At 50.9% G+C, this 26819-nt stretch overlaps 1 protein-coding gene and 2 long non-coding RNA genes across 3 annotated transcripts, besides 13 other annotated features; 2 read left to right on the top strand and 1 right to left on the bottom strand.

Annotated features, from left to right (window-relative positions):
• Nucleotides 344-910: an enhancer, noted in NCBI's record as "H3K4me1 hESC enhancer chr22:23864674-23865240 (GRCh37/hg19 assembly coordinates)". NCBI's record gives its function as "activates a minimal SCP1, AML or CMV promoter by ChIP-STARR-seq in primed H9 embryonic stem cells {active_cell/tissue: H9 hESC(primed)}" and the evidence as "EXISTENCE:reporter gene assay evidence [ECO:0000049][PMID:30033119]".
• Nucleotides 911-1476: an enhancer, noted in NCBI's record as "H3K4me1 hESC enhancer chr22:23865241-23865806 (GRCh37/hg19 assembly coordinates)". NCBI's record gives its function as "activates a minimal SCP1, AML or CMV promoter by ChIP-STARR-seq in primed H9 embryonic stem cells {active_cell/tissue: H9 hESC(primed)}" and the evidence as "EXISTENCE:reporter gene assay evidence [ECO:0000049][PMID:30033119]".
• LOC107985580 (uncharacterized) lies at nt 3793-7899 on the bottom strand. Its single transcript, XR_001755452.2, has 3 exons — nt 7783-7899; nt 6327-7079; nt 3793-5369 (listed from the first exon to the last, which is right to left on the bottom strand). It is a non-coding gene; the product is annotated as an uncharacterized LOC107985580 (long non-coding RNA).
• Nucleotides 7529-8144: an enhancer, noted in NCBI's record as "H3K4me1 hESC enhancer chr22:23871859-23872474 (GRCh37/hg19 assembly coordinates)". NCBI's record gives its function as "activates a minimal SCP1, AML or CMV promoter by ChIP-STARR-seq in naive H9 embryonic stem cells {active_cell/tissue: H9 hESC(naive)}" and the evidence as "EXISTENCE:reporter gene assay evidence [ECO:0000049][PMID:30033119]".
• Nucleotides 10611-11226: an enhancer, noted in NCBI's record as "H3K27ac-H3K4me1 hESC enhancer chr22:23874941-23875556 (GRCh37/hg19 assembly coordinates)". NCBI's record gives its function as "activates a minimal SCP1, AML or CMV promoter by ChIP-STARR-seq in naive H9 embryonic stem cells {active_cell/tissue: H9 hESC(naive)}" and the evidence as "EXISTENCE:reporter gene assay evidence [ECO:0000049][PMID:30033119]".
• Nucleotides 12460-13075: an enhancer, noted in NCBI's record as "H3K27ac-H3K4me1 hESC enhancer chr22:23876790-23877405 (GRCh37/hg19 assembly coordinates)". NCBI's record gives its function as "activates a minimal SCP1, AML or CMV promoter by ChIP-STARR-seq in naive H9 embryonic stem cells {active_cell/tissue: H9 hESC(naive)}" and the evidence as "EXISTENCE:reporter gene assay evidence [ECO:0000049][PMID:30033119]".
• Nucleotides 13076-13692: an enhancer, noted in NCBI's record as "H3K27ac-H3K4me1 hESC enhancer chr22:23877406-23878022 (GRCh37/hg19 assembly coordinates)". NCBI's record gives its function as "activates a minimal SCP1, AML or CMV promoter by ChIP-STARR-seq in naive H9 embryonic stem cells {active_cell/tissue: H9 hESC(naive)}" and the evidence as "EXISTENCE:reporter gene assay evidence [ECO:0000049][PMID:30033119]".
• Nucleotides 14308-14924: an enhancer, noted in NCBI's record as "OCT4-NANOG-H3K27ac hESC enhancer chr22:23878638-23879254 (GRCh37/hg19 assembly coordinates)". NCBI's record gives its function as "activates a minimal SCP1, AML or CMV promoter by ChIP-STARR-seq in naive H9 embryonic stem cells {active_cell/tissue: H9 hESC(naive)}" and the evidence as "EXISTENCE:reporter gene assay evidence [ECO:0000049][PMID:30033119]".
• LOC124900476 (endogenous retrovirus group K member 5 Gag polyprotein-like) lies at nt 14738-25662 on the top strand. The gene is made up of 2 exons (XM_047441690.1): nt 14738-14993; nt 16618-25662. Exon 2 carries the CDS (start codon nt 16731-16733, stop codon nt 18600-18602), a length of 1872 nt encoding a protein of 623 aa, XP_047297646.1. The 5' UTR covers nt 14738-14993; nt 16618-16730; the 3' UTR covers nt 18603-25662.
• Nucleotides 15959-25163, top strand: PCAT14 (prostate cancer associated transcript 14). Its single transcript, NR_109832.1, has 4 exons — nt 15959-16181; nt 16618-16695; nt 22085-22163; nt 24343-25163. It is a non-coding gene; the product is annotated as a prostate cancer associated transcript 14 (long non-coding RNA).
• Nucleotides 15979-16273: a silencer, noted in NCBI's record as "tiled region #4313; HepG2 Repressive non-DNase unmatched - State 5:Enh". NCBI's record gives its function as "represses a minimal TATA promoter and a strong SV40 promoter by Sharpr-MPRA in HepG2 cells {active_cell/tissue: HepG2}" and the evidence as "EXISTENCE:reporter gene assay evidence [ECO:0000049][PMID:27701403]".
• Nucleotides 15979-16771: a biological region, named in NCBI's record as "Sharpr-MPRA regulatory region 4313".
• Nucleotides 16157-16771: an enhancer, noted in NCBI's record as "H3K27ac hESC enhancer chr22:23880487-23881101 (GRCh37/hg19 assembly coordinates)". NCBI's record gives its function as "activates a minimal SCP1, AML or CMV promoter by ChIP-STARR-seq in naive H9 embryonic stem cells {active_cell/tissue: H9 hESC(naive)}" and the evidence as "EXISTENCE:reporter gene assay evidence [ECO:0000049][PMID:30033119]".
• Nucleotides 17459-17753: an enhancer, noted in NCBI's record as "tiled region #962; HepG2 Activating DNase unmatched - State 5:Enh, and K562 Activating DNase unmatched - State 12:CtcfO". NCBI's record gives its function as "weakly activates a minimal TATA promoter and a strong SV40 promoter by Sharpr-MPRA in HepG2 and K562 cells {active_cell/tissue: HepG2 | K562}" and the evidence as "EXISTENCE:reporter gene assay evidence [ECO:0000049][PMID:27701403]".
• Nucleotides 17459-17773: a biological region, named in NCBI's record as "Sharpr-MPRA regulatory regions 962 and 2236".
• Nucleotides 17479-17773: an enhancer, noted in NCBI's record as "tiled region #2236; HepG2 Activating DNase matched - State 5:Enh, and K562 Activating DNase unmatched - State 12:CtcfO". NCBI's record gives its function as "activates a minimal TATA promoter and a strong SV40 promoter by Sharpr-MPRA in HepG2 and K562 cells {active_cell/tissue: HepG2 | K562}" and the evidence as "EXISTENCE:reporter gene assay evidence [ECO:0000049][PMID:27701403]".

The following is a 26819-nucleotide window of genomic DNA, read 5'->3' on the forward strand; positions in this document are numbered from 1 at the left end:
CCCGGGCGTCCTCCGCCTGTATCCTGGGCCCCCCAAGCAGCGAGCCCCGGTGCCCCCCACCCTTACCCCTCCTCCCCGGTGCCCAGGGCCCGGGAGGGAGATTGATGGGGTGTGCTTATTAAAAAACATTGTAACCGCCGGGCGCGGTGGCTCACGCCTGTCATCCCAGCACTCTGGGAGGCCGAGGCGGGTGGATTACAAGGTCAGGAAATCCAGACCATCCTGGCTAACACAGTGAAACCCGGCCTCTACTAAAAATACAAAAATTAGCCGGGCATGGTGGCGGGCGCCTGTAGTCCCAGCTACTCGGGAGGCTGAGGCAGGAGAATGGTGTGAACCCTGGAGGCAGAGCTTGCAGTGAGCCGAGATCGCGCCACTGCACTCCAGCCTGGGCGACAGAGTGAGACTCCATCTCAAAAAAAAAAAAGAAAAAACAAAAAACAAAAAAAAGAAAAAGAAACATTGTAACCGTTTCTGTTTCTATTACGTTGACAAGGGAGCGTTATTTACTGTTACTGTTTGCCCAGCAGGCTGTGCCGGGCGCGGGGGTCTCCCCCGGGAGCTCACCTTCAGGCCGCGGAGGGCGGGGGCCGGGCTGGGGCGCGGGCAGGGGGCGTCGGGCGACCGTGCACCCCGGGGCCCTGCTCCTCGCCCCTTCCCCCACCAGCCCGGCCGGGCCCCGCGGCTGGGTGCGTTGCCGCGGGGAGGGACCTGCAGAGGACCAGTGACTCTCCCGTTGTAGGAGAAAGGCAACAAAAAATAAAAACGGCACAGATGACTTCATTCTCGGGAAGGCTCGGTCCTACATGGACCAATTTCCTGGGGACCGTGGTGGAACAGCTTCGCTGCCGTTGGAAGCACTTAAAACTGAACCAGATAAAGACCAGGACATTCTGGGCCCTGCTGAACCAAGCCAGGGCAGGCTGCGGGGCGTGTGATTTCTGGCCAGGTGGGGAGGCGGGTGGCCTCCCTCCACCCTCAAAGGCGCCTGGCTTTCAGTGTCCCAGGATTCGGGGGCTTGTGGGGAGGTCTCCACTGGGATCAGATGGGCCTGAAGGACGCCCCCCACCCTCAAGCCCCTGCTGGGATGTTAATCTCATCCTGCTAATTAAAGTTTGTGATTCTCTCCCTAACTTAGCTCCCCACTCTTGGACATTATCAGCTCAATGCAAACAGTTGCTGCTCTGGACAGGGAAGCCAGAGGAAAAAGGCCTCTGCAGTACACGCCATAACATGGATTAAAAAAAAAATAAATTGGCCAGGCGCAGCCTGCCTGTAATCCAGCAATTTGGGAGGCTGAGGCAGGAGGATCACTTGAGGCCTGGAGTTCGAAACCAGCGTGGTCAACACGGTGAAACCCAGTCTCTACTGAAAATACAAAAATTAGGCGTGGTGGCACACACCTGTAATTCCAGCTACGGGAGGCTGAGGCATGAGAATCATTTGAACCTGGGAGGCAGAGGTTGCAGTGAGCCGAGATCGTGCCACTGCACTCCAGCCTGAGTGACAGAACAAGACTCTGTCTCAAAAAATAAAAATAAAAAAATGTTTATACTTACAAACAACTCCTAGTGAACAACCCAGGTTTTGGAAACAACTTTCAGAGATCCCTTCAGCCTGTTTCATGTTTTCTTTTTGTTCTTCTCTTCCAAGGGCATGCGGTTAGCCTTTGGTTACGGAGGCCTTTGCCCTTGCAAAAAAAGTAATTTTCAGCCCTGTTCCCAGCACCAGCCGCTCGCAGCTGCACAGCCCTCCCTGAATGTGTGAACCAAAAGTCAGGGTTCCAAGAAGAAAGAGCATCCGCCACCCCCATCCCACCCCCAACCCTACCCCAGGTCTTGTAGAGTATAAGACCGAGGTTCCCAGCCCTGAGATACTGGGAGGCATCAGGCAAGCCGATACCCCCCTCCACTCCCAGTCACCAGCACTCACCCCACAGGCTAACGGTCCAAGCAGAACTCTCTGGCAGCTGATGGTGGGTTTAGAGGGTTTAGCTGATGTGAGAGTCGGGACCCTGGGCAGTGTTTGCGACAGAAATGACAGTAGACACCCAGTGTTGCAGAACCCCAGATCTGGAAGGACTTCGGAGATTACCCAGACCAACTACCCCCCTTCTTGTTTTACAGTTGGGCAAATTGAGGCCCAGAAAGGGGAAAGAGATGGGGCTAAGATGTGTCACCAGCTGGTGGTAGAGCCTAGATGGGACCATAGCGCTGTGCCTCCTATTCAGGTGCTGGTCACCCCACTCTTTCATCTGTGGAATTATCTGTATGATCAAGTTTGGGGCTGGGGGCAGGACAACCATGGTTAGGCAGGGGCCACTGACGCCAGACTGCCAGCGTTCAAATACTTACTTCTAAGTGAAGTTCTTCTCACAGAGCCTTGGCTTCTTTATGTGTTAAGCAGTGAGGATAATAACAGACCCTGGGCTGAGCGTGGTGGTTCACGCCTGTAATCCCAGCACTTTGGGAGGCCAAGGTGGCTGGATCACTTGAGGTCAGGAGTTCAAGACCAACTTAGCCAACATGGTGAAACCCCATCTCTACTAAAAATACAAAAATTATCCGGACGTGGTGGCAGGCACCTGTAATCCCATCTACCTGGGAGGCTAAGGTAAGAGAATTACTTGAACCCGGGAGGCAGAGGTTGCAGTGAGCAGAGATTACACCACTGCGCTCCAGCTTGGGCAACAGAGCAAGACTCCATCTAGAAAATAAAAATAAATAAATAAATAACAGAACCTGCTCTGAGTTTGTCTTAAGGAAGAAAGGCCATGATGCAGGTGAGGCCCCTGGACTGACCTGGTACTTGCTAGAACTTAACTGATGCTGGCGACCATGGCATTGCTGGTGGTGGTGCTGGTTGTTGTAGTGGGTTAAACGGTGCACACCCCCCTCCCCCAATATGTCCACGCCCTAATCCCTGGAACCTGTGAATGCGATGTTATTTGGGAAAAGAGTCTTTGCTGATGTCATTTAAGTTATGGATCTTGGGAGGAGGTCACCCTCAATTACCCAAGTGGGGCCTAAATGCCATCACAAGTGCCTAGGTTACACAGAAGAGGAGAAGCCATGTGTAGACAGAGGCAGAGGGTGGAGCGATGCAGCCACAAGCCAAGGAGCACCTAGAGCTGCCAGACACTGGAAGTAGCAGGAAGGGTCCTCCCCGAGCCTGGGGAGGGAGCATCCCCTTGCTGACTTCAATCTCAGACTTTTGGCCTCCAGAACAGCAAGAGAATCATCTGTGTTGTTTGAAGGCACCACGTTTGTAGTGATGTGTTCCTCAGCCGTAGGAAGGAAATGAATACAGGGGTGTTGAGAATGAGGATGAGGACAGGGTGATAATAATGATGGTGGTGGTGATGCTGATGGTGGTTATATACATGAATACCGGGGTGTTGAGGATGAGGATGAAGACAATGATGGTGATGGTGATGCTGATGGTGGTTATATTCACTTGCTAGAGCCGCCTCACAGTTCCAGAGGCCCGAGGTCCACTGTAAGGGTGTGGGCAGGGCCATGTTGCCTCTTAAGTCCCCGGGGAAGCCTCGGTCCCAGGCCTTACTCCAGCTTCTGGCAGCCTTGGCATGTGACCGCGTCACTCCTGTCCTCCGGTCCTCCCATCCTCCCGCCCTCCGTCTTCTCATCATCTTCACTCTGCATGTCTGTTCACCTTTCCCCTTTTTCTAGGAACCTCAGTCTTACTGGATTAGGGCTCCCCAATGACCTCACCTTAACCTGGTTACGTTACCTCTGTAAAGACCACACGAAGCCACATTCTGAGGGACTGGGCTTAGGACTTGAACCTAACATTTTTGTCTTTTATTTATTTATTTTTTTTGAGACGGAGTTTTGCTCTTGTTGCCCAGGCTGGAGTGCAATGACGTGATCTCGGCTCACTGCAACCGCCGCCTCCCGGATACAAGCAATTCTCATGCCTCAGCCTCTCAAGTAGCTGGGATTACAGGCGCCCGTCACCACGCCCGGCTAATTTTTTGTATTTTCAGTAGAGACGGGGTTTCACCATTTTGGCCAGCCTGGTCTGGAACTCCTGACCTCAGGTGAGCCACCCACCTCAACCTCCCAAAGTGCTGGGATTATAGGCATGAGCCATGATGCCTGGCCGAACCTATTTTTTGGGAGGACACAATTTCCCTCATGACAGTGGTGATGATGGAGGTGATGGTGGTTGGTCATGGAGGTGATGATTGTAGTCATGGAGATGACAGTGACTGCCATGGTGATGGTCCTAGGCCTCAGCCCTGGACCCCTAAACCCTGCAGGTGCTCCTTGGGCTGCAGTGGTCAGTTCATAGTCTCTCTGGGGGTCCGGAGTCTGTTCTCTGCAATGGAGAGCAGAGTTGGATTGTCAACTGAAGGAGCAGAGAGGTGAGAAAGATGATCCCAGGATGCTATTGCCAAGTTAGTGTCCTTTCTGCACCCTTCTGAAGCTCTGCCAGACCAGCCACCAGCGGTGAGGTCTGGGCTAGCCCTCTAATCTCTGCCAGCCACTGGTTGAGACCTGGGTTTGTGGAGGGAGCGGCTCAGCCCCAGGCCTCTGGGAGTTTGGGATGGCACCCGGTGGAGACATGGGAGCCCAGCCGCCTCAGCCAGGAAGGCGTGCATCAGGGCGAGTGGACTGTGAGGCTGGGGCAGGTATGGGTGAGAGAGCTCTTCCTGCTCCTCCGCACCTGACTTTTCCCTGTCATGTGCAAGCCCTTGCTATTTTTATACACAGCTAAGTCAGTGCTTGTCTCTGGCCCCTCCTTGCTGCCAGAAACCTCCTGGAGGGTAGGGACCACGATCCGCACGTCTTTGAGTTGCCCAGAGCATGAGCAGGTCCTCCACAAATGCAGAGTGAGTCTGGACCGTATTTTCTGGAAGAACAGCAAGTACCTCCCTTCTCCCTCCATCTGGGCACCATGGAGATAAGATCGGGGAGGCCAGCTGTTTTTGGATGGGATCTTTCTCTACCAGGCCCTGGGCTACCCAAGGAAGCTGGGCAGAACCACAGAGTCAGCCTGGCCTGGCCTTTCTTCTGGAGTCCACGGACCGTGGTAACCGTGGCAGCAGGAAGACAGAGCCCGGAGGACAGAAAGCCCACTGGTCTTTGGTCTTTGACGGAAGCCAGGCAGGAGCAGGCCACTGTTTGTTGTTGTTTTTTTCTTATTAGACATAATTACATCAACCCTATCCTCAATCTCTCTTCCTCTAGCTTTTGCCAAGCAATAGTGGTAATAATAGTCATAGTTAGCATTCCTTCTTTTGTTCAATCAATATTTATGAGCACAGACTCTTGCCAGGCACTCTTCCATGCACCAGGAGACATTGAACAGCAAAGCCAAGTTCCAGCTTTTTCAAGGCTGACCTTCTGGGAAAGAGACAAAGAACCAGGAAACCAACGCTAGGATCCAGGGAGCAAGGTGAGGGGCTAGAGCAGAGAACAAGAGGGCTGGAATTTGGACAAGGAGCCCAGGGAGGCGAGGAGATGCCACTGGAGCCGAGACCTGGGTGGAGGGAGGGAGTGAGGCCTGCAGGGAGCCTGGAGCAGCAGGTGCCATGGCCCTGGGGTGGGTGCCCGGCGTCCTGACCCTAAGGACACCTGAAGCCAAGGAGGGTGAGGGCAGGGGCGAGCCCAGGGTCAGTGTGTGTGTGTGTGTGTGTGTGTGTGTGTGTGTGTGTGTGTGTGTGTTCTGAGACAAGGCCTTGCTCTGTCACCCAGGCTGGAGTGCAGCGGTGTGATCTTGCTCTCTGCAACTTCGACCTCCTGGGCTCAAGCAATCCTCCCACCTCAGCCTCCGGAGTAGTTGGGACTAGAGGCACATGTCACCACACCTGGCTAATTTTTGTATTTTTTGTAGAGATGAGGTCTCGCCATGTTGCCCAGGCTGGTCTCGAACTCCTGGACTCAAGCGATCCACTCAACTTGGCCTCCCAAAGTACTGGGATTATAGGCGCGAGCCCCAGCGCCCGGCTTGATTTGTATTTTTAAACAATCTCTCTGGTTTCTGAGTGAGAATAGACTGAAGCGGCCGAGGGAAGCTGGGGAAACTGATCACAATTCTCAGCTGGGAGCTGATAGAGCCCAGAGGGGAGATGGCGGTGGCCTGGTTGGGGACGGCAGCAGTGGAGATGATAATGGCTGGGTTTTGGATATATTTTAAGTAGAGCCATCAGGATTTGTGAAAGGATCAGATGCGGATGTGGAAGAAAGAAAAATATCAAGCCTGACTCCTGGGCCATCGACAGTGGGAGGTGCCATTTCCTGGGATGAGGAAGACCACAAGAGAAGCTGGGGTGGGGCTGGGGTTTGGGGGGATCACTGTACCTCCATGGCCTTCTCGAAGCCTCACACTGAGTGTCTTGTGAAACCAGTCCTCGCTCCCTGCTTTGGTTCACTTCCTCTTTATGCTTCCCCCTGGCCTGGCTTGCCTCCTCTTCGTGTCTGGTTTCTGTGGATGTTCAGCCCGACGGCCACTCCCTGGCACTGCCAGTCCATCTCTCTCCCCTCCCCTCTTACTCCCCCCCAAAACATCCCCTCTTACCTGCCCCCCCAAAACATCCCCTCTTACCCGACCCCCTCCAAAACATCCTGTGGATGCTGTTCCCTCCGCCAGGAATACCGTTCCCACTGCTCTTTGCACCACTGCTCCTGAGACCCCATCAAGAGCTGGGATTTGCTCAGTTATGCCCAAAAATCTCACGTGATATTCGTATGTTACACACTTGCAGATATTGAATACTCCCTGAAACCATTTAATCCACATAACCACCCCATGAGGTAGGCACTACGATCATCCCCATTTTATCGATGAGGAAACTGAGGCCCAGATAGGTTAAATAATTTGCCCAAGGGTCAGAGCTGGTGAGGATGTGAACCCAGGCAGTCTAATCCCAAAATTGATGCTCTTGTTTGTTCATCCATTCATTCACCATCGCATGCCCTGTGCGCTAGGCTTTGCTCTAAGCTCTGGTACCTTCCATGGAGTACACCATGAGGGCACTGGGGAGGCAATGGTAGGCAGGGCAGCCCAGGCTGAACCTGCATGGAGCTAACTTTCCAAGGAGACAGGCAGGTGACCTGCAAAGAGAAACACAGTGATGTGAGAAATGCACACTGGCGGGGCTAAGGGCTAAGTGCAAAGGCAGAAGGGAGTCACAGGGCACACTCAGCAGGGAGGCGAGGCTGCCTCGGAGGAGGGGAGGGGTCTCAGGAGCAGCCATGCAAAAAGCAGTGGGAATGGCATTCGCAGCGGAGGGAACGGCCTATGCAAAGGATCTCTTGGTGGGAGAGTGAGTAGGGAGGACACAGTGATCCACTGGCAGTGCCAGGGAATGGCGGGGGGCTGAGCCAAGGAAACCACAGCAGGGAGTGAGGGCACTGGTCTCACAAGGCCCTCAGCCTGAGGCTTTGAGAAAGACATTGAGGTACCGTGACCCCCAAACCTGACACATCCAGTTCTGGCCCCGACCCCAGTGCAAACCAGGAGAAAGACCGCCAAGACAACATCCTGTTGCACAAGAGGGCCCCGGCCCACACAGGGTGGGGAGGCTCAGCCCCCAGCCCTGCTCCCTTTTCTATTGAAAGCATCAGGACTTGAACCCAGGGCTGACTTCACAGCCACAGCTGGAGACTGTCCCACCCCCAGGCTGGCTATCAATGAGCAGGTCAGCATCTGCCCTCTGTCCACGTCTAGAAAGGGCCAGGTGGAGCTGGTGTTCTCAGGCCACAAGCCCCAGCTGCCCCACAGGTCATTCATTCTTTCACTCACTCACTCATTCACCTGACAGCTGTTGGTGAATACCTCAATGTCCCAGGCACCCTACCCCCTGCTGAGGATGCAGCAGAGAATGAGACAAGATCCCATCCCTCAAGGAGCTGACATTCTGCTGGGGGGAGCCTGAGGATTAATAAACAAGTATAAAATCAGTAGAGGTACAAGTACCATGAGGAGGAAGGGGGTGGAGACAGGAGAAAGACCGGCTTTGCTGTTAGAGCTGAGACAGACCCCGACTTTGGGGACAGCACTCTGAGGATGCCCCTGTGGCCTCAGGTCTTTCCAGTCCACCCTGTCCCCTGCTCATGGAGGTGCAGTGACCCCCTTACTCCCCACACTCTGCCTCCCTTGGAGCCCCTGCCCCTCCCTCCTTGGTTGGCTTCCAATCTTGGGGCAAAGCCAGATCTCTGAGGGAGCAGAGCACCCTCCCAATGTCCAGGGGTCTGTGTCAGAGCTGGGGAGGGGCTGGGCCCTGCTCACAGTGGGAGGGCCCCCCCTAGCCCTGGGGAGGGTGCAGGCTCCATCCCCCCTTTGCTCCCCCACCCCATCTTCTGCTGGGCACAGAAAGCTGGGGAACAGGGCCCCTGAGCTCTGGGCCCTGGAGCAGAAACTTCAGGTGGGCTGAGGGCAGAGGGAAGGGCTGAATACCTAAAGACTTGCCCAGCAGATAAAACAGCAAATAACCCCCACTCCCATTTCAACCTCAGCACTTGCTGAGCTCAGAGCATTCCAGGGTGATCTTAGCGCAGCCTCACACCTGGAAGGGTTGTGCTGTTGTTATCCCCATTTTATGGAGGAAGAAACAGAGGCTCCGTGGGTCCAGAAATTCACCCAGACTCCAACGCAGGGCCGATGACACTCAGCGGGCATCAGCAGAATGGCTGAGAGCCCCAGGCATCCAGTGAGAGGCCCCAATACCTGACTCACTCAGGCCCACCCTCCACCAGACAGAACTCCCCAAACCCAAAACATCCAGTGCGGGCTCTGACCCCAGTGCAAACCCAGAGAAAGGCTGCCAAGACCAGACTCTGCTGCAGAGGAAGGCCTGGGCCCACATGGGGTGAGGAGGCTCACCCCCAGCTCTGCCCCCTTCTTGTACTGAAAGTATCAGGACTTGAACCCAGGGCTGACTCTACAGCCACACCTGGAAGCACCGGGCAGTCACACCCCCAGGCTGGCTATATGGAGGCCCCACTGGGTCCTGAGGGCAGGTGGCTGTATCATCCCCTTAGGGAGGGAGAGGGGGTCAGTCACCCCTCAAAGTTGCACAGCTAGTGAATGGGGGTGAGATTCAAACCCAGGACTGTCGGGCTCCTACCAGCACCTAGAGAGCAGTGGGGAAGAGGGCCCGAGAACTCTGGCGAGGAGGCTCCCCACATCCATGGCGGCGCTAGACCCAGACGTGGAGGCTCGGTCACCTCTGAGGCTGCACACAGTGGTCCTGGTGCAGGACCCATGGCCACCTGGCCGCCCTCAGATCCTGTGCTGAGTGGCCGTCTCTGCTGCCCCTGCCCTGACCCAACCCCTCTGCTCTCAGGGCTGTGCCCACTTCCAGATCCCTGCCCTGGGACCAGCACTGGTCGGGCACGCTGGGGATTCCTGCCAGAATTCTGGAAGCTTGGGCCCCATCAAGGCGGTCTCTTGCCCCTGAGACTCAGAAGATGGAGCCACAGGACCAGGGGAGCCCGCCCAGCCTGGAACCCCACCCCACCATGAGGCGCCTGCAGGCCTGGGGACATTGGGGCTGGGCAAGGGGTCCCCTTCCTCTGCCTCCTCCTGGGGCCAGGCTCTGACCCTCCACTGCTGCCGTAACAACTGCACGGGCTGCGTGTATGAGCTGCGTGTGTGGGCTGCGTGTATGGACTGCGTGTATGGACTGTGTGTATGAGCTGCGTGTATGGGCTGCGTGTATGGGCTGCCTGTGTGGGCTGCGTGTATGGGCTGCGTGTCTGCACCAGCCCCTGCCTGTGCCTCCGTGTGTCTTTGCACGTGTGTGCATGTGCGCATGTTGGGGTGAGCAGAAACAGCAGGACAGGAGAGGGAGGGAGAGAGGGGAGATGCAGGCAGCAGAGGGCTGGGGTGACACAGAGACTGTGCTGGAAATGCACAGAGAGCAGGGGACATGCCATAGCTGGGGGGAGAGGCCCTCGGAGAGAGGGATGACAGACAGGATGGAGGGGTCCCAGCCAGGAGCCAGTCCAGGTGGCAGAATCAGGAAAGCAGAGGCCTGAGGGAGAGAAAAGGAAAAGGAGAGAGGAGAGGGGAGGAGGAGGGAAGCTGAGTCCAGACCGCAGCAGGGGGCCCAGAGAGTGGGGCAGACAGAGGGTCTTGGATGGGATGAGGAGGACAAAGCCAGCACGTGGTGTGGGGCACAGGCAGCACCTTCTCCACCAGCCATCCTGAGTCAGCCCCACAGAAAAGCCCGGGGGTCAGGAGCAGGTGGGGAAGCAAAGCGGGGCGGGGGCTCCCTCACTCCCAGCCCCATCCTGACCTGGGGAGAGGACAGGCATGAGACCAGCCTCGGAAAGAGATGGTGGAGTCCCCCAAGGCTGCAAGTTCCTCACACTTAGCCCCAAACACCTCTTCTCTGCACCAGCTGGGGCTGTGTGACCTTGGGCAGAGGACGCTGCCTCTCTGGGTCTCTGAGCCCCGGGAAGGTATCAAGCCTGGTGCCTGCGTGAAGGCTCAGCGAGGTGAGACCTGGGTCCTGTTCAGGTGGGTCTGCTGGCAGCGCCCGAGGTGCTGGGCAGGTGCCTCCTTTATCACCAGGGAGAGTGAAATAGGGCCCGAGGTACGTAGTTGCTGTGACCTGAGCAGAGAAATGTGCAAACTGTAAAGTGCTGAGGACAACAGGTTGCTTATTTTAAGTGATATTCACAAAGATCAATTCAGGTTCGTGCCAGATGGGGGAAGAGGGAGGGAGGTGCGTTGAGAAGAAATCTCTGAAGACCCAGGTTGGAGGGGCAGAGACAGCCTGGGGAAGGAGCAGGGCTGTGCTGGCCCCCTCCCAGGCCGCATGGAGGTCCCACCAGAGCCAGGCTGGACCCCTGGGAGTCCCAGAAAGCCATGAGCATCAGGGTGGGCCCTGCAGAAGGTTTGCCTTGGAGACGTGGGCTCCAGGAACCCCCTCAGCCCCAGAATCCCCTCACAATGCCCCCACCTGATTCCCCCCACCCTGTTGTCCAGGGGGAGGCTGCCGAGGGCAGAGAAAAATAGGGGATGGGGGAGAGAAGCTGGGGTCCCCACATTCCAACTTGGGGTTTTTTCCATTCCCTAAAAGCAGGCAGAATGGTGTCAGGAGAGGAGAGAAAAGGGGGAGAGAGAAAAGGAAGAGGTGGAAAAAGGAAGGCAGGGAAGGAGAGGAACAAATGGAGAAGGATTGGAACCTTGAGAGAGGCTGCCCAAGGAAAGGGCTAAATGAGAAGAGAAGGGAGGGGAAGGCAGTGAGAGGCTCCCTGTCTTCCAGAGACAAAGGCTGAGGAGGAAGGAGAGGAGGGGGAGCAGGTGAGGGAGGCAGCGGCAGGAAGGGGAGGCCAGATAGCGGCAGGCCTAGACACAGAGCCGGGGCCCCAGACCCAGGCAGGCGAGAGACCAGCCTCCATCCAGCCGAGGCCCCAGCGGCGGAAGAGGGGAGTGCACTAGCAACTTAAGAGGGAAAAGTCTGCCAGTTGCCCTTGGGGCTGCCATGACAGAAAAAACCTCATCCAGGTGTCAGAGAGTAGCCTGCACACGAATGCACAGCAGTGAGCTACAAATACTGGCTTGAGAGGGAAGAGGGCGAAGGAGGGAGGATGGGGAGGGAGGGTGCAGGAAAGAAGAGGAGGAGAGTTGGTGGGGAGTTGAGGAGCAGGGCTGCGGGTCCAGGCTCAGGTAGCCTCAGTTTTGCAGAGGCGCAGATACAGAGAGATGACTGCTTTGGGAGCTGCAAACCACTGGGCCCCGTGACCCCACTCATGGATAGGGGCAAGGTGGGGAGGAAAGAACTGGAGAGAGAAAAGGGGAGAGGGAGGGACCGAGAGAACCTCAGAAACAGGGAGATCTCGAGAGCAGAGCTGTGAAGGGCAGGGCTGGGGAGGAGGGTGGGGAGATGAGGAAGGGAAGGCAGGAGGGAGAGGGGAGAGGGACGGAAGGAGAGAAGGACGGAAAGAGGGAGATAAGGAGCGGGAGGGACAAGGGAGGGAAGGGCAGGAAGAGGGCAGGACAGGGAGGAAGAAGGGAGGGAGGAAGGGCAGGAGAAAGGGGGGTGGGGGAGGGGTGGAAAAGTGTCCCTGGGGCTCTGAGGCACAGACCACCAAGGGACTGAGCACCTAAGCTGGTCTCCTCCCACCCCTTGCCCCCTCCCACCCCCTTGCTCCACTACTGGATCCTGGGGAGTCTGGCAGGGGCTGTCAGGGTTAAGCAGTGGGCTCCCCTTCCAGGCCTGCTCCAGACAGCAGCCCCCACCCTCCCTTTGTTCACGTCACTGGAAGGGTGGGCCTAGGCTGGGGCCTGGCTCCTTGGAGAAGACCCACCAGTGATCTAGCAGGGCCCAGAGCCAGGGCTGGGCCTGGACATTCCAAGTCAATTCAGGACTCAGAGCACCCCAGAGGGGAAGGGACCTGGGTTGTCCCCTGGAGTCACTAGCATCTGCGGCGAAACTCCCCCCGCCCCCACTGGTCTGCCCTGGATCCTAAGGGTAGAGGGACAGCGTGGCGGGAAGTAGCCCACTCCACCTGGGCAGGAACAAACCCACAGCCACCCGAGGAAGAGAGAATGCTGGCAGGATAGTCATGGAGCGGGGGCTCAGGAAGGCCTCTTTGAGGAGACAGTCTTAACACCTGAGAGCTGAGAAGAATTCAGCCTCACAAAACCCAGAGACGTGGCCCTCAAGAGGGAGATGGGGCTGGGAGACATGGTGGAGTGGCCAGGCCGGGAGTGGCTGCAGGGTTTGAGCCTGGGCCCAGCAGGTCTGGCAGGTCACCCCAGGGGTCTCCTGCTTGCTCCTGAGCCAGTGTCTGTGAGAGCTGGGTGGCAAGGCCAGCGGGAGGCTGAGGGACCCAGGGCCCGGGCATGTGGGAAGCGAGGGCGGCCTCTCCTTGGTTCCTCGGCAGCCTGGACCCTCACCCCCTGCAAGGTCCTGGTGGCCACCGCTTGCAGGGCCGTCCCTCTGGGAGTGGGCAGGGGGGCTGGGGGACACTGGGAAGACCTTCACCCCTCCGAAGGCAAGGCCTGGTCACGTTCATCCTCCATCCCTTTCCCGCCTGGACTCCTCCTGTGTGCTGGGAGCACTTGGCCGTGTGAGAACAGGGCAGCATGGTGGACGGGCCAGCATGGCACGGCGAGGTCTGAGCCCCTGGCTACTCTCCCCAGCCCTGAGAACTCAGGCTGCTCCGTAAGCTCTGTGGGCCTCAGGCTCCTGGTCGCTAGAATGGAGCCACAGGCAGGCTACCCAGAAGTGAGATGCCTGCCAAAAAGCCGTGTGCCCAGCCCAGAGCCAAGACTTGGTCCATCGAGCCCCAGCTCAAAAGCCCTATGAGAGGCCGGCCCTGAGCACCGTCCCTGTCCCTGTGTGCCACTTCAGTCACAATTCAGCAGCTCGCAGCCGCCCACTGAGGCTGAGCCTCTGTTCAAATTTGCCTCGATGTTTGCTGGTCACTGATTCAGGTCTTCGGGCCTCAGCTTCCTTACCCACAAACTGGGGGCGGCCTCTGGGGGCTGTTGTAAGGGGAGCTGGAGGCCACAGGCTCTGGCCTGGAGCACTTCGCTCTCCACCACTGTCTTCTCCTGACGTCTGTGTTTCCTCGTATCTCATGGTACCGCGTCTCCTCCGCAGGACCTGTGTGTCCTGTGTGACGCTGTGTGCCACCCACCACATCTTCAGCCCCTGAGAAAGATTCTGGTGGTGGAGGCTGTTGAGTAAATGCTCACTTGAGCTTCTCCCACTACCTTGGAGCCCCTCTTCTATTTGTCTCCAAATTCTCTTTGCTGACAGAGTGCACAGTTCAAAACCCCACACTGGGATGAACTAGAGGACGCCCAGGTCCAGCTCAGGAGCAGCTTCATGTCCCCTCCACTGCTGTACCTCTAGGGCCTCCCTCTGCCACTGCCATCTACTAGGACATTCTTCCTGGGCCCCTGTGGGACAAGGACTGCCTTTGGCTAGTGTGGGGAAAAGAAAGAGAGATCAGACTGTTACTGTGTCTATGTAGAAAGAAATAGACATAAGAGACTCCATTTTGTTCTGTACTAAGAAAAATTCTTCTGCTTTGAGATGCTGTTAATCTGTAACCCTAGCCCCAACCCTGTGCTCACAGAAACAGGTGCTGTGTTGACTCAAGGTTTAATGGATTCAGGGCTGTGCAGGATGTGCTTTGTTAAACAAATGCTTGAAGGCAGCAAGCTTGTTAAGAGTCATCACCACTCCCTAATCTCAAGTAAGCAGGGACACAAACACTGCGGAAGGCCGCAGGGACCTCTGCCTAGGAAAGCCAGGTGTTGTCCAAGGTTTCTCCCCATGTGACAGTCTGAAATATGGCCTCTTGGGAAGGGAAAGACCTGACTGTCCCCTGGCCCGACACCCGTAAAGGGTCTGTGCTGAGGATTAGTAAAAGAGGAAGGAAGGCCTCTTTGCAGTTGAGATAAGAGGAAGGCATCTGTCTCCTGCTCATCCCTGGGCAATGGAATGTCTTGGTGTAAAGCCTGATTGTATATGCCATCTACTGAGATAGGAGAAAACTGCCTTAGGGCTGGAGGTGGGACATGCTGGCGGCAATACTGCTCTTTAAGGCATTGAGATGTTTATGTATATGCACATCAAAAGCACAGCACTTTTTTCTTTACCTTGTTTATGATGCAGAGACATTTGTTCACATGTTTTCCTGCTGGCCCTCTCCCCACTATTACCCTATTGTCCTGCCACATCCCCCTCTCCGAGATGGTAGAGATAATGATCAATAAATACTGAGGGAACTCAGAGACCGGTGCGGCGCGGGTCCTCCATATGCTGAGCGCCGGTCCCCTGGGCCCACTTTTCTTTCTCTATACTTTGTCTCTGTTGTCTTTCTTTTCTCAAGTCTCTCGTTCCACCTGAGGAGAAATGCCCACAGCTGTGGAGGCGCAGGCCACTCCATCTGGTGCCCAACGTGGATGCTTTTCTCTAGGGTGAAGGGACTCTCGAGTGTGGTCATTGAGGACAAGTCAACGAGAGATTCCCGAGTACGTCTACAGTGAGCCTTGTGGTAAGCTTGGGCGCTCGGAAGAAGCCAGGGTTAATGGGGCAAACTAAAAGTAAAGTCTCTCATTCCACCTGATGAGAAACACCCAGAGGTGTGGAGGGGCAGGCCACCCCTTCAGGGTAGGGTCCCCTCCATGCAGACCATAGAGCACAGGTGTGCCCCAAAGAGGAGCAGAGAGAAGGAGGGAGAGGGCCCACGAGAGACTTGGAAATGAATGGCAGGATTTTAGGCGCTGGACTTGGGTTCGGGGCACCTGGCCTTTCCTTGTGTATTTCTCCTACTGTCTGCCTAACTATTTAATACAATAAAAGAAAACCAGCCCCTGGTTCTTGTGGTGTTTCCACCCTCCCGGGTCCCCGCTGGCTGCCTGGCTTCCTCCCGCAGCTCCTGCTGTGTGTGTATGTGTGTGTGTGTGCACATCTGTGGGGCGTATGTGTGTTCGTCTTTGTAATTGAGGCTGCAGAGTGGAGAGAGCAGGGGTTTTCTCTGGGGACCCAGAGAGAAGGAGGCGTTTTCACCACAGCCGAACAGGGCAGGACCCCAGCACCCGGGACCCAGCGGGACTTTGCCAAGGGGATGGACCTGGCTGGGCCACGCGGCTGTTTGTGTAGGGAAAAGAAAGAGAGATCACACTGTTACTGTGTCTATGTAGAAAAGGAAGACATAAACTCCATTTTGAGCTGTACTAAGAAAAATTATTTTGCCTTGACCTGCTGTTAACCTGTAACTGTAGCCCCAACCCTGTGCTCAAAGAAACATGTGCTGTATGGAATCAAGGTTTAAGGGATCAAGGGCTGTACAGGATGTGCCTTGTTAACAATGTGTTTACAGGCAGTATGCTTGGTAAAAGTCATCGCCATTCTCCATTCTCCATTAATCAGGGGCACGATGCACTGCGGAAAGCCACAGGGACCTCTGCCCGAGAAAGCCTGGGTATTGTCCAAGGCTTCCCCCCACTGAGACAGCCTGAGATACGGCCTCGTGGGAAGGGAAAGACCTGACCGTCCCCCAGCCCGACACCCGTAAAGGGTCTGTGCTGAGGAGGATTAGTAAAAGGGGAAGGCCTCTTGCAGTTGAGATAAGAGGAAGGCCTCCGTCTCCTGCATGTCCTTGGGAATGGAATGTCTTGGTGTAAAACCCGATAGTACATTCCTTCTATTCTGAGAGAAGAAAACCACCCTGTGGCTGGAGGTGAGATATGCTAGCGGCAATGCTGCTCTGTTACTCTTTGCTACACTGAGATGTTTGGGTGGAGAGAAGCATAAATCTGGCCTATGTGCACATCTGGGCACAGAACCTCCCCTTGAACTTGTGACACAGATTCCTTTGTTCACATGTTTTCCTGCTGACCTTCTCCCCACTATCGCCCTGTTCTCCCACCGCATTCCCCTTGCTGAGATAGTGAAAATAGTAATCTGTAGATACCAAGGGAACTCAGAGACCATGGCCGGTGCACATCCTCCGTACGCTGAGCGCTGGTCCCCTGGGCCCATTGTTCTTTCTCTATACTTTGTCTCTGTGTCTTATTTCTTTCCTCAGTCTCTCATCCCTCCTGACGAGAAATACCCACAGGTGTGGAGGGGCTGGCCCCCTTCATCTGATGCCCAATGTGGGTGCCTTTCTCTAGGGTGAAGGTACTCTACAGTGTGGTCATTGAGGACAAGTTGACGAGAGAGTCCCAAGTACGTCCACGGTCAGCCTTGCGGTAAGCTTGTGTGCTTAGAGGAACCCAGGGTAACGATGGGGCAAACTGAAAGTAAATATGCCTCTTATCTCAGCTTTATTAAAATTCTTTTAAGAAGAGGGGGAGTTAGAGCTTCTACAGAAAATCTAATTACGCTATTTCAAACAATAGAACAATTCTGCCCATGGTTTCCAGAACAGGGAACTTTAGATCTAAAAGATTGGGAAAAAATTGGCAAAGAATTAAAACAAGCAAATAGGGAAGGTAAAATCATCCCACTTACAGTATGGAATGATTGGGCCATTATTAAAGCAACTTTAGAACCATTTCAAACAGGAGAAGATATTGTTTCAGTTTCTGATGCCCCTAAAAGCTGTGTAACAGATTGTGAAGAAGAGGCAGGGACAGAATCCCAGCAAGGAACGGAAAGTTCACATTGTAAATATGTAGCAGAGTCTGTAATGGCTCAGTCAACGCAAAATGTTGACTACAGTCAATTACAGGAGATAATATACCCTGAATCATCAAAATTGGGGGAAGGAGGTCCAGAATCATTGGGGCCATCAGAGCCTAAACCACGATCGCCATCAACTCCTCCTCCCGTGGTTCAGATGCCTGTAACATTACAACCTCAAACGCAGGTTAGACAAGCACAAACCCCAAGAGAAAATCAAGTAGAAAGGGACAGAGTCTCTATCCCGGCAATGCCAACTCAGATACAGTATCCACAATATCAGCCGGTAGAAAATAAGACCCAACCGCTGGTAGTTTATCAATACCGGCTGCCAACCGAGCTTCAGTATCGGCCTCCTTCAGAGGTTCAATACAGACCTCAAGCGGTGTGTCCTGTGCCAAATAGCACGGCACCATACCAGCAACCCACAGCGATGGCGTCTAATTCACCAGCAACACAGGACGCGGCGCTGTATCCTCAGCCGCCCACTGTGAGACTTAATCCTACAGCATCACGTAGTGGACAGGGTGGTGCACTGCATGCAGTCATTGATGAAGCCAGAAAACAGGGCGATCTTGAGGCATGGCGGTTCCTGGTAATTTTACAACTGGTACAGGCCGGGGAAGAGACTCAAGTAGGAGCGCCTGCCCGAGCTGAGACTAGATGTGAACCTTTCACCATGAAAATGTTAAAAGATATAAAGGAAGGAGTTAAACAATATGGATCCAACTCCCCTTATATAAGAACATTATTAGATTCCATTGCTCATGGAAATAGACTTACTCCTTATGACTGGGAAATTTTGGCCAAATCTTCCCTTTCATCCTCTCAGTATCTACAGTTTAAAACCTGGTGGATTGATGGAGTACAAGAACAGGTACGAAAAAATCAGGCTACTAAGCCCACTGTTAATATAGACGCAGACCAATTGTTAGGAACAGGTCCAAATTGGAGCACCATTAACCAACAATCAGTGATGCAGAATGAGGCTATTGAACAAGTAAGGGCTATTTGCCTCAGGGCCTGGGGAAAAATTCAGGACCCAGGAACAGCTTTCCCTATTAATTCAATTAGACAAGGCTCTAAAGAGCCATATCCTGACTTTGTGGCAAGATTACAAGATGCTGCTCAAAAGTCTATTACAGATGACAATGCCCGAAAAGTTATTGTAGAATTAATGGCCTATGAAAATGCAAATCCAGAATGTCAGTCGGCCATAAAGCCATTAAAAGGAAAAGTTCCAGCAGGAGTTGATGTAATTACAGAATATGTGAAGGCTTGTGATGGGATTGGAGGAGCTATGCATAAGGCAATGCTAATGGCTCAAGCAATGAGGGGGCTCACTCTAGGAGGACAAGTTAGAACATTTGGGAAAAAATGTTATAATTGTGGTCAAATCGGTCATCTGAAAAGGAGTTGCCCAGGCTTAAATAAACAGAATATAATAAATCAAGCTATTAACAGCAAAAAATAAAAAGCCATCTGGCCTGTGTCCAAAATGTGGAAAAGCAAAACATTGGGCCAATCAATGTCATTCTAAATTTGATAAAGATGGGCAACCATTGTCTGGAAACAGGAAGAGGGGCCAGCCTCAGGCCCCCCAACAAACTGGGGCATTCCCAGTTAAACTGTTTGTTCCTCAGGGTTTTCAAGGACAACAACCCCTACAGAAAATACCACCACTTCAGGGAGTCAGCCAATTACAACAATCCAACAGCTGTCCCGCGCCACAGCAGGCAGCACCGCAGTAGATTTATGTTCCACCCAAATGGTCTTTTTACTCCCTGGAAAGCCCCCACAAAAGATTCCTAGAGGGGTATATGGCCCGCTGCCAGAAGGGAGGGTAGGCCTTTGAGGGAGATCAAGTCTAAATTTGAAGGGAGTCCAAATTCATACTGGGGTAATTTATTCAGATTATAAAGGGGGAATTCAGTTAGTGATCAGCTCCACTGTTCCCCGGAGTGCCAATCCAGGTGATAGAATTGCTCAATTACTGCTTTTGCCTTATGTTAAAATTGGGGAAAACAAAAAGGAAAGAACAGGAGGGTTTGGAAGTACCAACCCTGCAGGAAAAGCTGCTTATTGGGCTAATCAGGTCTCAGAGGATAGACCCGTGTGTACAGTCACTATTCAGGGAAAGAGTTTGAAGGATTAGTGGATACCCAGGCTGATGTTTCTGTCATCGGCATAGGTACTGCCTCAGAAGTGTATCAAAGTGCCATGATTTTACATTGTCCAGGATCTGATAATCAAGAAAGTACGGTTCAGCCTGTGATCACTTCATTCCAATCAATTTATGGGGCCGAGACTTGTTACAACAATGGCATGCAGAGATTACTATCCCAGCCTCCCTATACAGCCCCAGGAATAAAAAAATCATGACTAAAATGGGATAGCTCCCTAAAAAGGGACTAGGAAAGAAGTCCCAATTGAGGCTGAAAAAAATCAAAAAAGAAAAGGAATAGGGCATCCTTTTTAGGAGCGGTCACTGTAGAGCCTCCAAAACCCATTCCATTAACTTGGGGGAAAAAAAAACAACTGTATGGTAAATCAGCAGCGCTTCCAAAACAAAAACTGGAGGCTTTACATTTATTAGCAAAGAAACAATTAGAAAAAGGACATTGAGCCTTCATTTTCGCCTTGGAATTCTGTTTGTAATTCAGAAAAAATCCGGCAGATGGCGTATAATGCCGTAATTCAACCCATGGGGGCTCTCCCACCCCGGTTGCCCTCTCCAGCCATGGTCCCCTTTAATTATAATTGATCTGAAGGATTGCTTTTTTACCATTCCTCTGGCAAAACAGGATTTTGAAAAATTTGCTTTTACCACACCAGCCTAAATAATAAAGAACCAGCCACCAGGTTTCAGTGGAAAGTATTGCCTCAGGGAATGCTTAATAGTTCAACTATTTGTCAGCTCAAGCTCTGCAACCAGTTAGAGACAAGTTTTCAGACTGTTACATCGTTCACTATGTTGATATTTTGTGTGCTGCAGAAACGAGAGACAAATTAATTGACCGTTACACATTTCTGCAGACAGAGGTTGCCAACGCGGGACTGACAATAACATCTGATAAGATTCAAACCTCTACTCCTTTCCGTTACTTGGGAATGCAGGTAGAGGAAAGGAAAATTAAACCACAAAAAATAGAAATAAGAAAAGACACATTAAAAGCATTAAATGAGTTTCAAAAGTTGCTAGGAGATACTAATTGGATTTGGAGATATTAATTGGATTTGGCCAACTCTAGGCATTCCTACTTATGCCATGTCAAATTTGTTCTCTTTCTTAAGAGGGGACTCGGAATTAAATAGTGAAAGAACGTTAACTCCAGAGGCAACTAAAGAAATTAAATTAATTGAAGAAAAAATTCGGTCAGCACAAGTAAATAGAATAGATCACTTGGCCCCACTCCAAATTTTGATTTTTGCTACTGCACATTCCCTAACAGGCATCATTGTTCAAAATACAGATCTTGTGGAGTGGTCCTTCCTTCCTCACAGTACAATTAAGACTTTTACATTGTACTTGGATCAAATGGCTACATTAATTGGTCAGGGAAGATTATGAATAATAACATTGTGTGGAAATGACCCAGATAAAATCACTGTTCCTTTCAACAAGCAACAGGTTAGACAAGCCTTTATCAATTCTGGTGCATGGCAGATTGGTCTTGCCGATTTTGTGGGAATTATTGACAATCGTTACCCCAAAACAAAAATCTTCCAGTTTTTAAAATTGACTACTTGGATTTTACCTAAAGTTACCAAACATAAGCCTTTAAAAAATGCTCTGGCAGTGTTTACTGATGGTTCCAGCAATGGAAAAGTGGCTTACACCGGGCCAAAAGAATGAGTCATCAAAACTCAGTATCACTTGACTCAAAGAGCAGAGTTGGTTGCCGTCATTACAGTGTTAACAAGATTTTAATCAGTCTATTAACATTGTATCAGATTCTGCATATGTAGTACAGGCTACAAAGGATATTGAGAGAGCCCTAATCAAATACATTATGGATGATCAGTTAAACCCGCTGTTTAATTTGTTACAACAAAATGTAAGAAAAAGAAATTTCCCATTTTATATTACTCATATTCGAGCACACACTAATTTACCAGGGCCTTTAACTAAAGCAAATGAACAAGCTGACTTGCTAGTATCATCTGCATTCATGGAAGCACAAGAACTTCATGCCTTGACTCATGTAAATGCAATAGGATTAAAAAATAAATTTGATATCACATGGAAACAGACAAAAAATATTGTACAACATTGCACCCAGTGTCAGATTCTACACCTGGCCACTCAGGAGGCAAGAGTTAATCCCAGAGGTCTATGTCCTAATGTGTTATGGCAAATGGATGTCATGCACGTACCTTCATTTGGAAAATTGTCATTTGTCCATGTGACAGTTGATACTTATTCACATTTCATATGGGCAACCTGCCAGACAGGAGAAAGTACTTCCCATGTTAAAAGACATTTATTATCTTGTTTTCCTGTCATGGGAGTTCCAGAAAAAGTTAAAACAGACAATGGGCCAGGTTACTGTAGTAAAGCAGTTCAAAAATTCTTAAATCAGTGGAAAATTACACATACAATAGGAATTCTCTATAATTCCCAAGGACAGGCCATAATTGAAAGAACTAATAGAACACTCAAAGCTCAATTGGTTAAACAAAAAAAAGGAAAAGACAGGAGTATAACACTCCCCAGATGCAACTTAATCTAGCACTCTATACTTTAAATGTTTTAAACATTTATAGAAATCAGACCACTACCTCTGCAGAACAACATCTTACTGGTAAAAGGAACAGCCCACATGAAGGAAAACTGATTTGGTGGAAAGATAATAAAAATAAAACATGGGAAATGGGGAAGGTGATAACGTGGGGGAGAGGTTTTGCTTGTGTTTCACCAGGAGAAAATCAGCTTCCTGTTTGGATACCCACTAGACATTTAAAGTTCTACAATGAACTCACTGGAGATGCAAAGAAAAGTGTGGAGATGGAGACACCCCAATCGACTCGCCAGGTAAACAAAATGGTGATATCAGAAGAACAGAAAAAGTTGCCTTCCATCAAGGAAGCAGAGTTGCCAATATAGGCACAATTAAAGAAGCTGACACAGTTAGCTAAAAAAAAAAGCCTAGAGAATACAAAGGTGACACCAACTCCAGAGAATATGCTGCTTGCAGCTCTGATGATTGTATCAACGGTGGTAAGTCTTCCCAAGTCTGCAGGAGCAGCTGCAGCTAATTATACTTACTGGGCCTATGTGCCTTTCCCACCCTTAATTCGGGCAGTTACATAGATGGATAATCCTATTGAAGTAGATGTTAATAATAGTGCATGGGTGCCTGGCCCCACAGATGACTGTTGCCCTGCCCAACCTGAAGAAGGAATGATGATGAATATTTCCATTGGGTATCCTTATCCTCCTGTTTGCCTAGGGAAGGCACCAGGATGCTTAATGCCTACAACCCAAAATTGGTTGGTAGAAGTACCTACAGTCAGTGCTACCAGTAGATTTACTTATCACATGGTAAGTGGAATGTCACAGATAAATAATTTACAGGACCCTTCTTATCAAAGATCATTACAATGTAGGCCTAAGGGGAAGGCTTGCCCCAAGGAAATTCCCAAAGAATCAAAAAGCCCAGAAGTCTTAGTCTGCGGAGAATGTGTGGCTGATACTGCAGTGTAGTACAAAACAATGAATTTTGAACTATGATAGACTGGGTCCCTTGAGGCCAATTATATCATAACTGTACAGGCCAGACTCATTCATGTTCACAGGCCCCATCCATCTGGCCCATTAATCCAGCCTATGACGGTGATGTAACTGAAAGGCTGGACCAGGTTTATAGAAGGTTAGAATCACTCTGTCCAAGGAAATGGGGTGAAAAGGGAATTTCATCACCTTGACCAAAGTTAGTCCTGTTACTGGTCCTGAACATCCAGAATTAGGAAGCTTACTGTGGCCTCACACCACATTAGAATTTGTTCTGGAAATCAAGCTATAGGAACAAGAGATCGTAAGTCATATTATACTATCAACCTAAATTCCAGTCTGACAATTCCTTTGCAAAATTGTGTAAAACTCCCTTATATTGCTAGTTGTAGGAAAAACATAGTTATTAAACCTGATTCCCAAACCATAATCTGTGAAAATTGTGGAATGTTTACTTGCATTGATTTGACTTTTAATTGGCAGCACCGTATTCTACTAGGAAGAGCAAGAGAGGGTGTGTGGATCCTTGTGTCCATGGACCGACCATGGGAGGCTTCGCTATCCATCCATATTTTAACGGAAGTATTAAAAGGAATTCTAACTAGATCCAAAAGATTCATTTTTACTTTGATGGCAGTGATTATGGGCCTCATTGCAGTCACAGCTACTGCTGCGGCTGCTGGAATTGCTTTACACTCCTCTGTTCAAACTGCAGAATACGTAAATGATTGGCAAAAGAATTCCTCAAAATTGTGGAATTCTCAGATCCAAATAGATCAAAAATTGGCAAACCAAATTAATGATCTTAGACAAACTGTCATTTGGATGGGAGAGGCTCATGAGCTTGGAATATCTTTTTCAGTTACGATGTGACTGGAATACATCAGATTTTTGTGTTACACCACAAGCCTATAATGAGTCTGAGCATCACTGGGACATGGTTAGATGCCATCTGCAAGGAGGAGAAGATAATCTTACTTTAGACATTTCAAAATTAAAAGAATTTTTTTTTTCTTTGAGACAGAGTCTCGCTCTGTCGCCCAGGCTGGAGTGCAGTGGCGTGATCTCAGCTCACTGCAAGTTCCGCCTCCTGGGTTTACACCATTCTCCTGCCTCAGCCTCCCAAGTAGTTGGGACTACAGGAGCCCACCACCATGCCTGGCTAATTTTTTTTGGGTTTTTAATAGAGATGGAGTTTCACCGTGTTAGCCAGGATGGTCTCGATCTCCTGACCTTGTGATCTGCCCACCTTGGCCTCCCAAAGTGCTGGGATTACAGTCGTGAGCCACCGTGCCCAGCCAAGAAAAAATTTTTGAGGCATCAAAAGCCCATTTAAATTTGGTGCCAGGAACGGAGACAATCGTGAAAGCTGCTGATAGCCTCACAAATCTTAAGCCAGTCACTTGGGTTAAAAGCATCAGAAGTTTCACTATTGTAAATTTCATATTAATCCTTGTATGCCTGTTCTGTCTGTTGTTAGTCTACAGGTGTATCCAGCAGCTCCAAAGAGACAGCAACCAGCAAGAATGGGCCATAGTGACGATGGTGGTTTTGTCAAAAAGAAAAGGGGGGGATATGTAAGGAAAAGAGAGATCAGACTTTCACTGTGTCTATGTAGAAAAGGAAGACATAAGAAACTCCATTTTGATCTGTACTAAGAAAAATTGTTTTGCCTTGAGATGCTGTTAATCTGTAACTTTAGCCCCAACCCTGTGCTCACGGAAACATGTGCTGTAAGGTTTAAGGGATCTAGGGCTGTGCAGGATGTACCTTGTTAACAATATGTTTGCAGGCAGTATGTTTGGTAAAAGTCATCGCCATTCTCCATTCTCGATTAACCAGGGGCTCAATGCACTGTGGAAAGCCACAGGAACCTCTGCCCAAGAAAGCCTGGCTGTTGTGGGAAGTCAGGGACCCCGAATGGAGGGACCAGCTGGTGCTGCATCAGGAAACATAAATTGTGAAGATTTCTTGGACATTTATCAGTTTCCAAAATTAATACTTTTATAATTTCTTACACCTGTCTTACTTTAATCTCTTAATCCTGTTATCTTTGTAAGCTGAGGATATACGTCACCTCAGGACCACTATTGTACAAATTGATTGTAAAACATGTTCACATGTGTTTGAACAATATGAAATCAGTGCACCTTGAAAATGAACAGAATAACAGTGATTTTAGGGAACAAAGGAAGACAACCATAAGGTCTGACTGCCTGAGGGGTCGGGCAAAAAGCCATATTTTTCTTCTTGCAGAGAGCCTATAAATGGACGTGCAAGTAGGAGAGATATTGCTAAATTCTTTTCCTAGCAAGGAATATAATACTAAGACCCTAGGGAAAGAATTGCATTCCTGGGGGGAGGTCTATAAACGGCCGCTCTGGGAGTGTCTGTCCTATGTGGTTGAGATAAGGACTGAGATACGCCCTGGTCTCCTGCAGTACCCTCAGGCTTACTAGGATTGGGAAACCCCAGTCCTGGTAAATTTGAGGTCAGGCCGGTTCTTTGCTCTGAACCCTGTTTTCTGTTAAGATGTTTATCAAGACAATACATGCACCGCTGAACATAGACCCTTATCAGGAGTTTCTGATTTTGCTCTGGTCCTGTTTCTTCAGAAGCATGTCATCTTTGCTCTGCCTTCTGCCCTTTGAAGCATGTGATCTTTGTGACCTACTCCCTGTTCATACACCCCTCCCCTTTTAAAATCCCTAATAAAAACTTGCTGGTTTTGTGGCTCAGGGGGGCATCATGGACCTACCAATACGTGATGTCACCCCCGGTGGCCCAGCTGTAAAATTCCTTTCTTTATACTCTTATTTCTCAGACCAGCTGACACTTAGGGAAAATAGAAAGAACCTATGTTGAAATATTGGAGGCGGGTTCCCCCGATACCTGGGTATTGTCCAAGGTTTCCTTTGCTGAGGAGGATTAGTAAAAGGAATGCCTCCATCTCCTGCATGTCCCTGGGAACAGAATGTTCCCACCAACCACCCTGTGGCTGGAGGCGGGATATGCTGGCAGCAATGCTGCTCTATTACTCTTTGCTACACTGAGATGTTTGGGTGGAGAGAAGCATAAATCTGGCCTATGTGCACATCTGGGCACAGCACCTTCCTTTGAACTTATTTGTGACACAGATTCCTTTGCTCACGTTTTCCTGTTGACTTTCTCACCACTCACCCTATTCTCCTGTGGCATTCGCCTTGCGGAGATAGTGAAAATAGTAATAAATACTGAGGGAACTCAGACTGAGGGAACTCAGACTGGGCAGACCGGGGCCAGTGTGGGTCCTCCATATGCTGAGCGCCGGTTCCCTGGGCCCACTGTTCTTTCTCTATACTTTGTCTCTGTGCCTTATTTTCTCAGTCTCTCATTCCACCTGATGAGAAATACCCACAGGTGTGGAGGGGCTGGCCCCCTTCAGTTTGATTTCCCCCCGACTTCCAAATAAGTTGAAATTATACACTAAGCATCTATTTAATTAAGTTTTCCAGGGTGTGGATAATAAGAGACACGACTGGAATGGGGTGGGCAGTCCCATCCCTGCTCTTGCCTGTTGGAATTCTCAGCCCTCAGGCCACAAAATATGGCAAGTTGTAATGTAGGGGACGGAAGCCATGGGCGAGCCAGCCAGAGCTATCACTCCAGGATGCCAGGTGGGCAAGGGGGACCCCAGGCAGCTCTGCCTCACAGAGGAGGTTCAGATGAACCTCAGGGAGCCTGCCACCCTCTCTGGGGCCTCAGAAGCAGACAGGAGGAGTTAAAGAAGGGCCCTGCCCTGGCTATAGCATCAAAGGACTTTGGGGCAGGATCACCTGGGGGCTGTTGGCCACAATCAAATGACAGACTGGCAGTTCCCTTGACACACAGCCCCTGCTTCAGATCCTTGATACTTCAATCTCACATCCTGAGAGTGTGGGCCACCGCAGGGAGAGGCCTGCCGCTGGCTGGTGGTTC

Source organism: Homo sapiens, chromosome 22 (assembly GCF_000001405.40).
Source record: "Homo sapiens chromosome 22, GRCh38.p14 Primary Assembly".
NCBI classification, from domain to species: Eukaryota; Metazoa; Chordata; class Mammalia; order Primates; family Hominidae; genus Homo; species Homo sapiens.